The following is a 12,718-nucleotide window of genomic DNA, read 5'->3' as shown; positions in this document are numbered from 1 at the left end:
AAACTTTGGACACAACTCAAAGAAAAGAAACCCCAAAGCTAAGAAGAAGAATTAATTAATGTTGCTGCTAATCAGATTCAGTGAATTTTTACAGGCCAAAAGGATAAACTCTCTGAACTGCCTCAGTAACAGCTACAATAGGAATAAAAATAAAAATGATGGGCTCTTAATTCCTTAACATAAGGCATTCTTTTATTAAATAAAAGAATTTTGATAATCGATTTCTTACTACTCATGCCTTTCCATTACAATTAATTATAATTTCCGTAATTCATTGGTTTGGAATGCTACTAAAAGCAAAATTAACCCTGAAAAATATTCAAGTTCTGACCATTTATGCCTTTCCCTGGATGACCTGTGAGTAGTTGAAATTCTTGCCTTTTAAGTTGGATTTTCTTCAATACTTCTTTTATATCTTTTAGGATAGAAAAGAAAGAATCGATACACAGATCTGGTTGGAGAGAACATGGTTTAATTAAAGGCAAAGCTGATTTTCAGCAGCTGCAGGTCTTGCACAGACAAAAACAAAAAACAAAACCCAGAAAACAAAACAAAAAACCACAAAAGAAAGTTTACTACACAAAACCAGTTTCTGATAAAGATTCTCCTCCCCCTCATTACTCCACAGTGAGGATGATAAGGCGAGGAATCCCGCCCCAAGAGTCAGAAAACATTCCAAACACCAAATTCTCATGCAGAATGGGGCTTTAGATAGGAGCTGGGTATTACTGGGAGTGAGATGGTAAACCTGGTTAGCTTGTCTAGGGCGCAAGAATCAGTGACAGTTCAAACACTGGAATGTTGCAGCTGCCTGAATGCAGAGCTCAAACACACAAACTGGGTAAAGGTAGTAGGAAAAAGGCTTGGGAAGAGGAGAGAAAGGTGGACACAGGGAAGGGGCTGAAGAGAAGCACAAAAGGTTTCATATTGCCATTGGGTAGGGGGCTTCACCTTTTCAGACCTTTCAAAAAAACAAAACCCAAACACCATGTCAAACTAAAAGAGCAATAATGTAAGCATACGGGGCGGGGGGGGCTCCAACCACTCTCTCTGAAGAGCAATGAGCGTTATCTCACCCCTTTTCATTGCTGGGGTTGCCCAGACTGCAGTGACAACTGGGGCTCCTGGATGTGCTTTGCTCTACAGCTGTCTTCCAGCTCTTAAGTTCCACACTAACTCCATACACTCGCACACACAACCCCTCCCCTCTGGGACAGCAGATGGGCACGTGTGTGTACACAAACATACAGACACACAAAGGAGAGACCTCCCAGAAAATAAACCCTACCACTAGCACAGCAATTGAACAATTAGATTGTTTCCATAATTTCCCCTTAAAATATTACTTTTCCAGGAAATGACTAACAGAAATGCTGTCCTTCTGTTTCTACACAAGAACATTTTCAGTCCTCTTTCCTCCTAATAAATATCATACAAAGAGTTTATTTTCCTTTCTTTCGTCTCTTCCAAAATGGACGACGTCGTGTTTTCTTCTGTGCCTGATGGGCACATGTCCGTGCTGCCTTGAATTTCACTCTGAAAGTGGAGGCTGGGAGACTGCAGCTGGGCAGGGGCCTGGGCCCTCTGTGGGCTACGCAGATACTGCTGCTTCCTTCCTCTTCAGACTGTCTTTTGGGCCCCAACTGCTGGACCCCATGCTGTTGCTTCTTGGGGAGATGTGATGTTGCACACATTAGGAATAAAAACAATTACTAGCATACAGCATTGGGTAAAAGAAGGGATGGAGATGGGGCAGGAGGGTGGGAAGTAGAATGGGGGCACAAAAACCAACCAAAGAAAAAATAACCACACTGAAAGCTTCTACCTATTAGAACGTGTCAGGCTGTGAATGGACTAGCCTGCCTTCTGTGAGACTGCTTGCTGTGCGACTGTAAAATGTACAGGAATCAAAAACGTAATTTGAAATCCTACAGCAGTCTACCTGCTAGTCCAGCCCAGCACCACCACCCACACTGTATCCTCGATTGGGGCTCGAGCACCTACAGAGTGAAGGGCATTCCCTGCTGGAGTCTCCTGGCCAGAGGAAGGCCTACCAGAGCCTTCTGACAGGCCTTGAACTCTCCCTTATGGAACATTTCCACTGGCTGAAGAGGTCGGTTCCCCATCCTGTCACCACCAACCTCTCACAGGAGCAGTGAACGGGGCTTTCCTTGCTACACACTGACTAGAAGCACACCTGTGTATGGAAGAATTCAGTGTGATATTTTACTACTGAGAGTAATAATAATAAAAGATGTTTAAGAATAATTTCAACTACATTCTCAGTCAGCAAAGCAATCATTAATGGATTCCTATTTTATTCCCCAAAGAGGAAAAAAGGACTGAGAAGTTCCCATTGGCTTCTCCCATCTGCCTTCCCTTCTCAGCTTTCACTTCCCATGTGGCTGGGGACATGCACGATGGAGAAGGTGAGAGGCGGTGATACCAAGTAACTGAGTGAGATAAACAGCAGTTCCTCTCTCTCTCCCTCCGGAGGGCCCCGGGGGGACGGAGAGTTCCTGATGGATTTTTCTTTTTGTTGCACTGCGAACATTTCGTGCACACTCAGCGGGCTGGTGGAATACTTACACCCTCTTGACAGCGAGAAACAGAAAAGAGGGCTGCCACCTGCAGGGGACTGTGTGGGCCAGTCCTGCAAACCCAACATGCCATGGTTTATGGAGCCTTCATTCCCAGGTTGCCACTTTGGCCTCAGTGTGGAGGGTTCATGGTGCCTTGTCCCCGTTGCTGTTTCTGCTTCTGCTGCATTAACAGCTGCTCCAGAGCAGAAGGTCCAGGATGCATCATGGAACTGGACCAGATAGACTGAAAAACAGTCCAGATCTTGTCAGCAGAGGTCAAATGCCAAGTTGTCTGAAAGGGATTTTTCAATCCCAGCCAAATATAAAGGCATATATATGGCCCCAAAACCCAACCCCACTCCCCATAAAAATCCAGCTATTAGAAAAAGTCATTATAAGACTCTTAAAGCTAGTTAGTTTCCATTAAGACTATTTTAAACCAGAAGAAGTGAAATCACATTTTATGTCAAGTCTTTTTACTGAAACTCAGCTGTATGTGGTACCACACAGGGCATTTACTATAAAGTTTTCAGGCAAATAAAACATTTCTAAAATTAGATACTCTTATTTTGTCAGAAAAGGCTTAAATCAAACATTCCAAAATGAATCAGAATTTTCTTAACCTTAGAATGAAACTAAAACCTTTGTTTTTGTCCTCCTGAAGATACTGCTTTACCACTAGTGAATTCAGAAATTAAAAATTATCACTCAAGAATCTTGTAAGGCAGACCATGTTTCTAGGACTTTGTTATATATGTGCTATGTATCAGTCAACTCCGAGGGCCTGAGAAGTCTAGCTATTTATGTGAATGAAAGCAGAGACACCTTTGCTGTAATAATCTTGTGGTTCTTGTTCCTGAAATCTACTCACCTTTAGGCTTTCCATGAGGACAGCAGAGGAATCCTCCATGGAAGGGCCATGGCCTGTCCAGGTGCCACTCGGAGTGCTGGCCTGATGCCAACTGCTCTCAGAGGATGACGTTGCTGAGAGATAATCAATGCCAAACCCACCCATGGCTAAGGGATGAAAAGAGATAAGAAAAATTCAAGAAGATGTTCTATCACTGCCAATTGCCAGACCCCAGGGAAGGATAGAGTAAATTCTTTCAATTTTGCCTGGCAATGAAATGTAGATCTCACCTGGCTTATCAGTTTTCCACCGATCTGCAGTCCTTCTATCCCTGTTATCTGGAGTCCCAATGGGTCCAAAATTGGAGAATGGAACAGAATTATGGTTGTGTGTTGGAGGAGAGCTGGGTAGGCTGCTTGGGTTAGAGGAATGAGGAGACTGGCTGGCTGGTGTTGAATGATCTATTAAATAATAGCAACACAGGATATAGTAAATCATTGTTTCACAAACATACAAAGAACTACAGGTTCCTGTAGATCTGATCACTAAAATTCTACTAACAATAACCACAGGGCTTTGAAGGAAAGGGAAACTAAAGGCTCCAAAGAGATCTGCTAGATGCACTAATTTGCCCTGCCACACATATCTAAGGCATATTCTTCGCCTTAAAAAAGCAAAATAAAATAGTAGGCAATTTTTGTCAACTGAATGAATGCCCTATTCTCACACGGCTATTTCAGATACATGTTTATTGGTCTTATGTATCAGAAAGAATTTGCTAACCTTAAGAATTACTATTAAGTCAGACTCTAAGTTAAAAATCTCAATTTTAAAAAGTGCAGAGCTGGGCACAGTGGTGTGCACCTGTAGTCCCAGCTACTTGGGAGGCTGAGATGGAAGGACTGCTTGAGCCCAGGAGTTTGAGTCTAGAGTGGGCAACACCACAAGACACTGTCTCAAAAAAAAAAGTGCAATTTTTCTGCAAAGAATGAACACCTACAAATAAAACTAAAAAGCAGCTGAGAACCATAAGATAGAACCTCTATTTTCTCCCTTACATCTCTGCTGGCTACTGAGGATGTAAAAAGTTTTGTCAGTAGCATTTATTACATAAACCGGCTTCTTCTTTTTTTTTTTCTATTTCCTTTCAGAAGTTACAAAAACAAACAAACAAAAAATAAAAATAACCCAACAAATGATATATTTGTAATTACAGAATCTCACTATCCCTTAATCAATCTGAGTGTACAGGAAATGTAAGGTCTATAATTTAAAGAGTAGTTAATACCTGAACTGGCAGGAAGTGATGGAGACCACGGAGTCCCTTCAAAAAGGGAATACAGAGATGTTTCCTGGGGGGCCATTGAGGGACTGAGTTCTGCTTTGGAGCTGGATGTCAGGTTTTTCCCATATACCTCATTGAACATACTATTATTTGGGTATCTTTCCTGAAAGACATGACAGTGAAGTTATAAACTCACCCCAAGGAAAGAGATTTGAGAAAATCCAATGTCTTGTTCATGGATGCTTGGTACACCTTAAGCTTTTCTTAGGAAGAGAAATTTTGAAGGCTTTTATTTCTTTTTGTTTCAATTTTCCAGTCAAATTAATTTTCCTCTTTGCTTTCTCTCACCCTTAAATTTGCTCTGTGTAAACTATCCAGGTTGAAAATGTGAATAATTTATTTGGCTCAAAAAGAGAGCCCTAAGGGTTTCAATATTAATGAGAAGTTAAAGGGTTTTAATTCATGATGTACAAGTCACTAGTATGCCCCAATCAGAGACAAGGGGGATAAAATCAAATATCTGGAATACACTAATACATGGAAAATAAAGAAAAAACAGACATACTGAAACAGTATGAGAAAGACAATGATCAGTCTACACTAAAAGCACACAGCAGGATTCTTCATTGTTCACCTACCTGATTGAGAGAGAATCCGGTGAGGGACAGGAAAGAGGATGAATGTGACATGAGCTCTGAGGGCTTCTCCAATAAGGATTTCTTCACAGTCCCAGAAAAAAAGGTAATTAAGTTATACCTTCTATTTTCTTAATATTAATCTTACCATACTATGGAACCAAAGCAAAAGCATGCCTGTATTCGCCCACTGAGTACAATTTGAGGCTCAGAAGATGTGAATTCAAATCTGTTAACACCAAGACACCGCCTAAGTGCCAGTTGCCACAGGTGCATAGAATCCTCCTTTTAGATCAAACCTAGTCAGAGATTATATTCTGGCAGGGACCAGAGACCCTGGTAAACAGCACTCTGAGTGTTTATGAGGCATGGACCTCAGGAATCCCCTTGTCAATAGTTGCACTTAATCTCAAAACAAAATGCTGAACTGTTCCAACACTGTTTCTCTCCACCCCACAATTTTTAAAACATTAACATTGGTGACTTTTAAAAAGCCTTTCAAATCCATTTGACAAATGGCTTTGTTAATATGCTTTTTAAGCAGCTCTATTTGCAGTATATAGTAAAACAGTTGCTAAAAGTCAAGCTTACATTTATTGGCCCTAGCAAAGTTATTAGGAGAAACAAAGCTGAATCTCTAATGCTGTCACTGAATAGCTGGCTAATAAAACATTACTAAATACCTACGACAAGAGAAGCACTTTGACATACGTTGTATCATTAATGTTAAATATTGGAAGGGTTATAGTCGAAGTTTTTTTTATTCATTGTTGTCTTTTAAACATGAAAAAAAAACCCTGAAAATACTCCCACTTGTTCTACCATCAGCTCCATTTCCAATGAAAGGGACACTAAGGGAACAGGAACAGGAACTAAGGGATTAGGAAACAAGTGGACAGAGAAGCACTACCCTCAGTCCTTAAAGCCACTCTAGCATAAAAGCCACAAGAAAGGCAAACATAGAGAGGCAACAGTATAGCAGCTGAGCTTCCACAATCCCTGTGCGCTCAGCCATGGCACTGCTACCATTTAAGTCTCCAGGGGGATCTTTTATTGCTATTATTTAATAACTTGGTATGGGGCCCCTACTGCTACTACCCAGGCAAATTCTTAAGGGAACTTCAAGTGCCAGGGATGGCAGCAATGTCATGAAAGCTGTTAAGGTTTTATTTCTCTTGACACTAAAATTAATGTACTTTAATTTTACGAATGTGTTCTTGCCCTGTGTTTATGAGAAAGAAACAGCAAGAAAGTAAAATTTACTATCTTTTTATGTTTTATTAAGGTGTAATAAAGAGAGGGGAAAAAGCCTCATAGCATACATCTTTCTTTCCATCTTTTATACTCCCCACCCACAGTAAAATATAATATGAACACTGACAAGCATATAGAATGATGTTCTTTGAAATGCAGGCTGAGTTCTCAGATTTTATTTTATGTGATTCTAGTTATTTTCATATTTACTCATTTATGACACTCTGACAATGTTTATAAATAGAATCCTCTTCATTTTTACTCATTCTGTTTATGAATCCAACTTTGAATTTAGATCAGGGCTCTTTCTGCATTTAGTTAACCAAACAAAAAAGAGCCATATACTGTTCAGTAATGTCAGTCAAAAAAAAAATCAAGAACATATTTCCTTTCATATTTTGGCTACATATGAGAAATAAATCTCACTGTTCCTAAGCAAGATTAAATGATACTTAAAATTTCTGGGTCCAGATGGAAGTGTCACCTGCAAAGTGAGTTAATTTGTCACCATCACATCGTGTGTGTGACCAGCTCTGCAGAATGCTTTCTGGATAACACATAAAACCAAGGTATGTCTCCATGATTTGGGAGAACTATAAAGGCAGAAATGTTTTGCTATATCCTACTACCAACTTAAGGTTGGTTTAGGCAATTAGAAAATATGTTTTACAGTTCTGAAAAGGACAGCCCCAGGAAGAGAAGAAATCACCTAATCTGTGTACTACAGTATCTCAGAGAAGCAGCTGGGGGTTAGACCAAGAAGCAGAATTATGTCAAATACATACAAAAAGGCTTCGTCCAGGAAGAGAGGCGAGAGGCCCCAGCAGAGCCGGGTAAAGATCAGGAGGGTTAGAAAAAATCAGCTCTTCCTCTTCCTCCAAGGCAGCCAGACTCTTTAACAGGTCCGGAGGAAGCAGAGGGGAGCTCTTGGGGTCCTAGTGACAGAAAGCATCACAGTGAGAAGCAATAAGGGATAACAAAAGCATAAAGGAATAGTAGCATAATTAGGTGGAAGAAGACAACTAAAGTCAAGGGGATAGTGAGATAGATGGTATTAGGCAAAGAGAAAAAACGCTCTGAAATGCAAAGGCAAAGCGACACAAGGACAATAATGGAGAAAGTTCAAGACAATAGAAAAGCAAAAATACTGACAGAGCAGAACACAAAAGGTTAATGTGGCTAGTGAGTAAAACAATGCTATGGAGCAAAATGATTAGCATATCTTGTGCTAACAGAGAAACAGATCTTTTAAAAAGTTACTAACATTCACCTGTTTCTCATGAATAAAAAGGGCAAAGAAAGGGACCTCCACTGTCCAAGATAACTGGCTAACCTTGTTCCTCTCAGAGAGCAATTTATTTAAATATCAGTAAACCTATTTTTAAACTTAGATGATTCAGCCCAACTGAGAGGAGTGCTTTGTCTCAGAATTCTCTAACATGCTGTTTTAGAGATTTCTGTACATGGTTTCTTTGCCAGACCATCAGAGTTCAAAATCAGTTACGGAATTCTTCAGCTTCCAAACTAAAACATACTGTGCAACTCTGAGGAGGAAACCAAGAGCTACACCAATACTCAGTGGCATTCTATAGTACTAACGAATAAGAGTGGCCTTTTTATAAGATCTATTTGAGATATTCAAAAGACAGTCAACCTCAGACCTATCTCCAAATTGCCTGGTGATAGGAAAGAACACACACCTCAAACGGCATTCTGGGTACAGGATCCTGCTCTGGACGGAAGACTCCTGGTGACCGTTTGCCCCTGCGGTCTATGTTTGCTTGCTGTGCCATTACAGATCTGTTATCAGCCATGCTGTAGGAAGAATCCCAGTAGAATTCTGGGACCTTGACTTCTGAGGGATTATGGTTATATGGCTCCATGGGAAAAGGCTTCATTTTTTTTTCTAGAGGCTGCTGCTGCATTACAGGAGGTTGCAATGACGGCTCAAACAGTTTTATGGGGTCTTGGGTCTGAAGGTAGTAGGGCTGTTTCACAGGCATAATTTTCCCTAATGGGCCTTGAACCTGAGGGGGATTCCACAGCTGTTTGGAGGCATCTGCCTGTTGATACTAAAAAAGAGACGCCTGTCATAAAGGTGAGGATAAAATGCAATATTACTTATAATGAATGCTAAAGAATCACAGAATGAACTTGGGGTGTTTTCCAACCAACAAAACTCTAGGCAAGGCAGCAGTTTCCTTTACCTTTTGGGCTATTCAATACTCAGAGCTTTTTGGAAACAGATTATGGGCACCACACTCATATTTTCTTTTAATTCAACTATTTAAGAGGTTTAATGAATGAATGAATATATTTGCATAAGAGTGTTTGTTTCCCCTTTCTGCTTCAAGTGCTGTGCTTCCAACGACAACATTTAAGATTGGTGTCACATCTGTCTTAGCACCTCATCAAGACTGTGATTCTATTTCCCTAGTAGTTTATGTTCCTATAGGAGAATTATTTGCAGAAAATCCATTTTCAATAAAATGGACACTTAGTAGCAGCCAAGAATGGTACTTAAGATCTAGTATTTTATCCTTTACAAGAGTAAGGAAAACATTTGAACTTTCATAAACAGTAGAGACAATACTTTTGTTTTCCCATAATCACTATAAATCTAAGCAAGAAGTATGTCAAAGTTTAATGAGCATTTCTAACATTGAATCTTTCAGCATTTCCCCTTATTTCATTCAGCTGGATAGTACACACAACTGTAACTTACCTGCTGGAATCCAGAGTGGTGAGGCGGGCTTTTCCCCAAAGCCGGCACAGCTTTTGTAGGGGATTGTTGTTGCTGAGTTAGAGCTTGAACCTGCAGCTGGCTTGTAGACTGTGCTGTTGGCTGAGCTGGTAAAGATGTAAGGGGTTGCTGGGAAGGTGGCTGTGATTGTTGAGGTCCCTGGTTCATTGGCCCTGGTCCAGAGGGCCGTTGCTGGCTGTAAGGAATGTGGGACTGTTTCCCAGCTTGCACCTGGTTTCCTGCTGGAGAGTGAGCTGTAGGCTGAAGAAAGGTTCCTGGGACAGAAACACCAGCTGGGAAGGTGTAACCTGAGCCCATAGAAAATGCCACAGGCGGGGGGATAACATATGTTGGGGGCGGAAACCCTTCAAAACAGAAGAACACAGCTTTAGTTTTAAGGAAACAGCAAAAAATTGCAAAAAAAGTCATTTTTTTTTTAACAGGTAGGTAGAGGGAGTCTTCTAACACATCACAAAAGAGATTAGTCATGTTGTCAATCTTTAACTTGATTTGAAGAACTAAAAATAGACTTGATATTTTTCCTCTATCCACTGAAGTAATCAGTGTTCTGTGAGTAGCTTCTGTATTTAGTGATAGGATTTCCTTCATAATAACAAACATGCACTTGTATGTACACTACACACAAACAGTTCAAAAATAATTTTATAAGTATTAGGGAAAATAGAACTTTTTATGGCTTAGTAACATTACTCCAACAGAAAACACATTTCTCAGTGACTGAATAGAAATTCTTGCACAGAAAAGATTAAGTAGAAGAAATTACAAAACATATTTACCTGGCCTGCTGGGAAGAGGAGGGAAGGCTCCAGGGTGATGAATGGGGATGAACTGGGAGTTACTTGCTTGAGTTGGGGTTTGAGTTACAGGTGTTTTTCTGGCTTCAGACACTGGAGTCTTTCTTAGTTCTGTCTGGGATTTTACCTGTAACCAATAGAAGCAAAACTATCTATAATAAATTGAAACTCAAATGTGCTAGAAAGAAGACCCTACTCCTAAGAAAGTATTTAAAACCTCATTAGATCAAAAAGTACATGCTGAAGATATTTAAATTCACCTAAGTTAAAAATGGAAAATCAAAGCAAATTATTTAATAGCCAATAAAAGATAATTTTACTATCTTAGTTTTACTAATTATTTTGCTTTCCCATGATCACAAAAATCCAAAAATGTAAAGGACCTTAGAGCCCATTTGTTTTACAAATGAGATGCCTGATGCTAACAAGTTGAAAAAAACTTGTCTATGACTTTAAGTTGCTTGTTCTGGGGCCCAGGGTTCTCTATACTCTAATTCATTAAACGACATACATGAATTATGAACTAATAATGACTATTAACCCATAGGTGAGTTATTTTGGCCCTCAGTTTGATTTCATCTGGGTAGCCATATGTGCAGTCAGGCATCCACCTTCCACCCTGCAACTTTACCACCCTTCAGAATAAATAAGGATACTTTCAGCAGTAAGGAACAGGCCCTGAGATCCTATAGATGGAGCCAGAGAGTAGATGTCATATGCACTGCTCAAAGTTGAGCAAAATGAGGGAACATGAGTAGCATTTATAGAAAACCCAGGACGAGGTACAGAGTGTGGTGATATGTTTACTCTTTCTTTCTTTAATCATTTATAGGTGATTTGAGATGGATGAGAAACCAAAAAAGGAGATTGTATTTTCAGTCTGGACCTTATTGTGAGCAGTTACAGAGAATGGAGGAAAGGTAAACAGAAAATGCTGGACTCATTATCTCTAAAACTCGGATCCTTTGGCTTTCTAGTTCATTTTTTTTTTTCTTGCCTTTCCCTAGCATCTCTCTCTCTCCCCTATGTCTTAATTTCTACCTTGTCTTTCTGTTTCTCTCCTTGCTATAATGTTAAAATGGAACTATTATTTTCTTATTTCTCTTTCTCAAAAAAATTAGAGAAATACTTCAAAGGTACTATTTATTTGTAAGCAGCCTTCAACAATGTAAAGTTTCTCATGCAAACACATACATTTGCTAAAATGTGTTAACAACTCACATGGCTGCTTAAGTATTTATTCAAACATTAATAGTATTAATAAAACCATCACAGAATAAAGGCCCTTTTCTGTTTACATGAAACCATCTTTTCTATTTGGGAAAATATATTAATAAAAAGAAAGTCACAAATAACTGAGCAGTGCTTATCTTTTCCCAGCAAGAAACCTGGGTTCTTCCTTTATAAATTCCCAGGATCCAGGATAAGATTAAAGTGATATTAATACCAATAGCCGGGACAAGTATAATTGTCAATAAAAAAGTCTCATATTTTTCCAAGAAAAAAAATACACACACACACACACACACACACACACACACACACACACACATATATATATATTATAGTGAATCTAAAAAAAAAAACTGCATAAGCCTTAATATACTCTTGGTTCTACTGGATCTACAGAAGACCCCAAATCTCCACTATAGCATTGACAAATGGTAGTTATATCTTCTAAATAAAATATAATCCTGTGTGAAACTGACAACTCTGCAACTAATCCTTTCAAACTGCTTAAATTGGTGAAGACTGACGAAAGTGTCAAATCAGGCTGAGATTTTTTTTTCACTCACAATTCCCAAGAATTGAAAAAGTAACCATCTATCACAGCTCTTTATATAACCTTACTATGCAATTAAATAATGCATTTAAACTTCCAGGACGGCCAATTCTCATGGCTTTAGAACAAAATGAAAAATCTTGCCTTTTGTGTGAGCCTTCCTCTACCTGCTTTATAGTTCAAATACAGCTTACCTGCACTGCCACATTCTGCTTTCCTGTTTCCTGTAACTTTTCTAAGGTGCATTTCTTGGTTTCAGTTTTCCTCTTGTTGTTGTCCTTCTTTCCATCATTCTTAGTTACAGTTATTCCTTTGCTATAGTCCCTTCTCACCTCTTTGGGAGGAAAACTTCTTCCTTGGTCTCTGTTCACTTCTCGTGTCTTAATGTTTTCTTTGAAGGTAACCACTGGCTTCTCTCCTGTGTCACAGTTGTTGCTTAAATTTCGGCTTGTAGATAGCACTGATTTTAGCCCTGGGCTCCCATCTGCAGCCAGCGACTCTATCACAGATGTTTCTTGCAGAATGAGGTTCTCTTTGGCTTCACTGGGGTCTTCCAGTATTAATTCTGGGATTTCTGTGATAAACAACAATTTCCCTACCTCATTTTCACACTGAATCAGCCTAAAAAAGCAAAAATAAATCCATATATAAAAAACATTAACTTAAAAAATAACAACTGAATTGTGTGTGGATCCAAGTCAATATATTCCTAGCACTAATAACCATGAAAACAGCAGGATATAACAATGTGGATTCAGGTAACACAAAAAG

At 39.3% G+C, this 12,718-nt stretch overlaps 1 protein-coding gene across 31 annotated transcripts in view, besides 1 other annotated feature; it reads right to left on the bottom strand.

The window, feature by feature from the left end:
• Positions 453-12,718, bottom strand: part of SMG7 (SMG7 nonsense mediated mRNA decay factor) — an 81,693-nt gene continuing 69,427 nt past the window's right edge. For 10 of the 31 annotated variants that reach the window (NM_001350220.2, NM_001394137.1, NM_001394133.1 and 7 more), the window contains 10 exons: positions 12,142-12,568; positions 10,147-10,291; positions 9,332-9,714; positions 8,307-8,678; positions 7,392-7,541; positions 5,356-5,436; positions 4,721-4,880; positions 3,723-3,893; positions 3,454-3,599; positions 453-2,826 (listed from right to left, as the gene is read on the bottom strand). In NM_001350220.2, the coding sequence (NP_001337149.1) occupies positions 2,713-2,826; positions 3,454-3,599; positions 3,723-3,893; positions 4,721-4,880; positions 5,356-5,436; positions 7,392-7,541; positions 8,307-8,678; positions 9,332-9,714; positions 10,147-10,291; positions 12,142-12,568 (2,149 nt within the window). In that variant the 3' untranslated portion in view covers positions 453-2,712. The remainder of the gene's footprint in view (positions 2,827-3,453; positions 3,600-3,722; positions 3,894-4,720; positions 4,881-5,355; positions 5,437-7,391; positions 7,542-8,306; positions 8,679-9,331; positions 9,715-10,146; positions 10,292-12,141; positions 12,569-12,718) is intronic. The other 21 variants (NM_001394134.1, NM_001394140.1, NM_001394136.1 and 18 more) reach the window with 4 other exon arrangements.
• Positions 10,733-10,782: a silencer, noted in NCBI's record as "silent region_1632". NCBI's record gives its function as "represses an Ori minimal core promoter by ATAC-STARR-seq in GM12878 lymphoblastoid cells {active_cell/tissue: GM12878}" and the evidence as "EXISTENCE:reporter gene assay evidence [ECO:0000049][PMID:35858748]".

The sequence above is a fragment of the Homo sapiens genome, chromosome 1, assembly GCF_000001405.40.
Source record: "Homo sapiens chromosome 1, GRCh38.p14 Primary Assembly".
NCBI classification, from domain to species: domain Eukaryota; kingdom Metazoa; phylum Chordata; class Mammalia; order Primates; family Hominidae; genus Homo; species Homo sapiens.
Note: the sequence above shows the minus strand (reverse complement) of the source record. Positions and strands in the feature narration are given on the sequence as shown.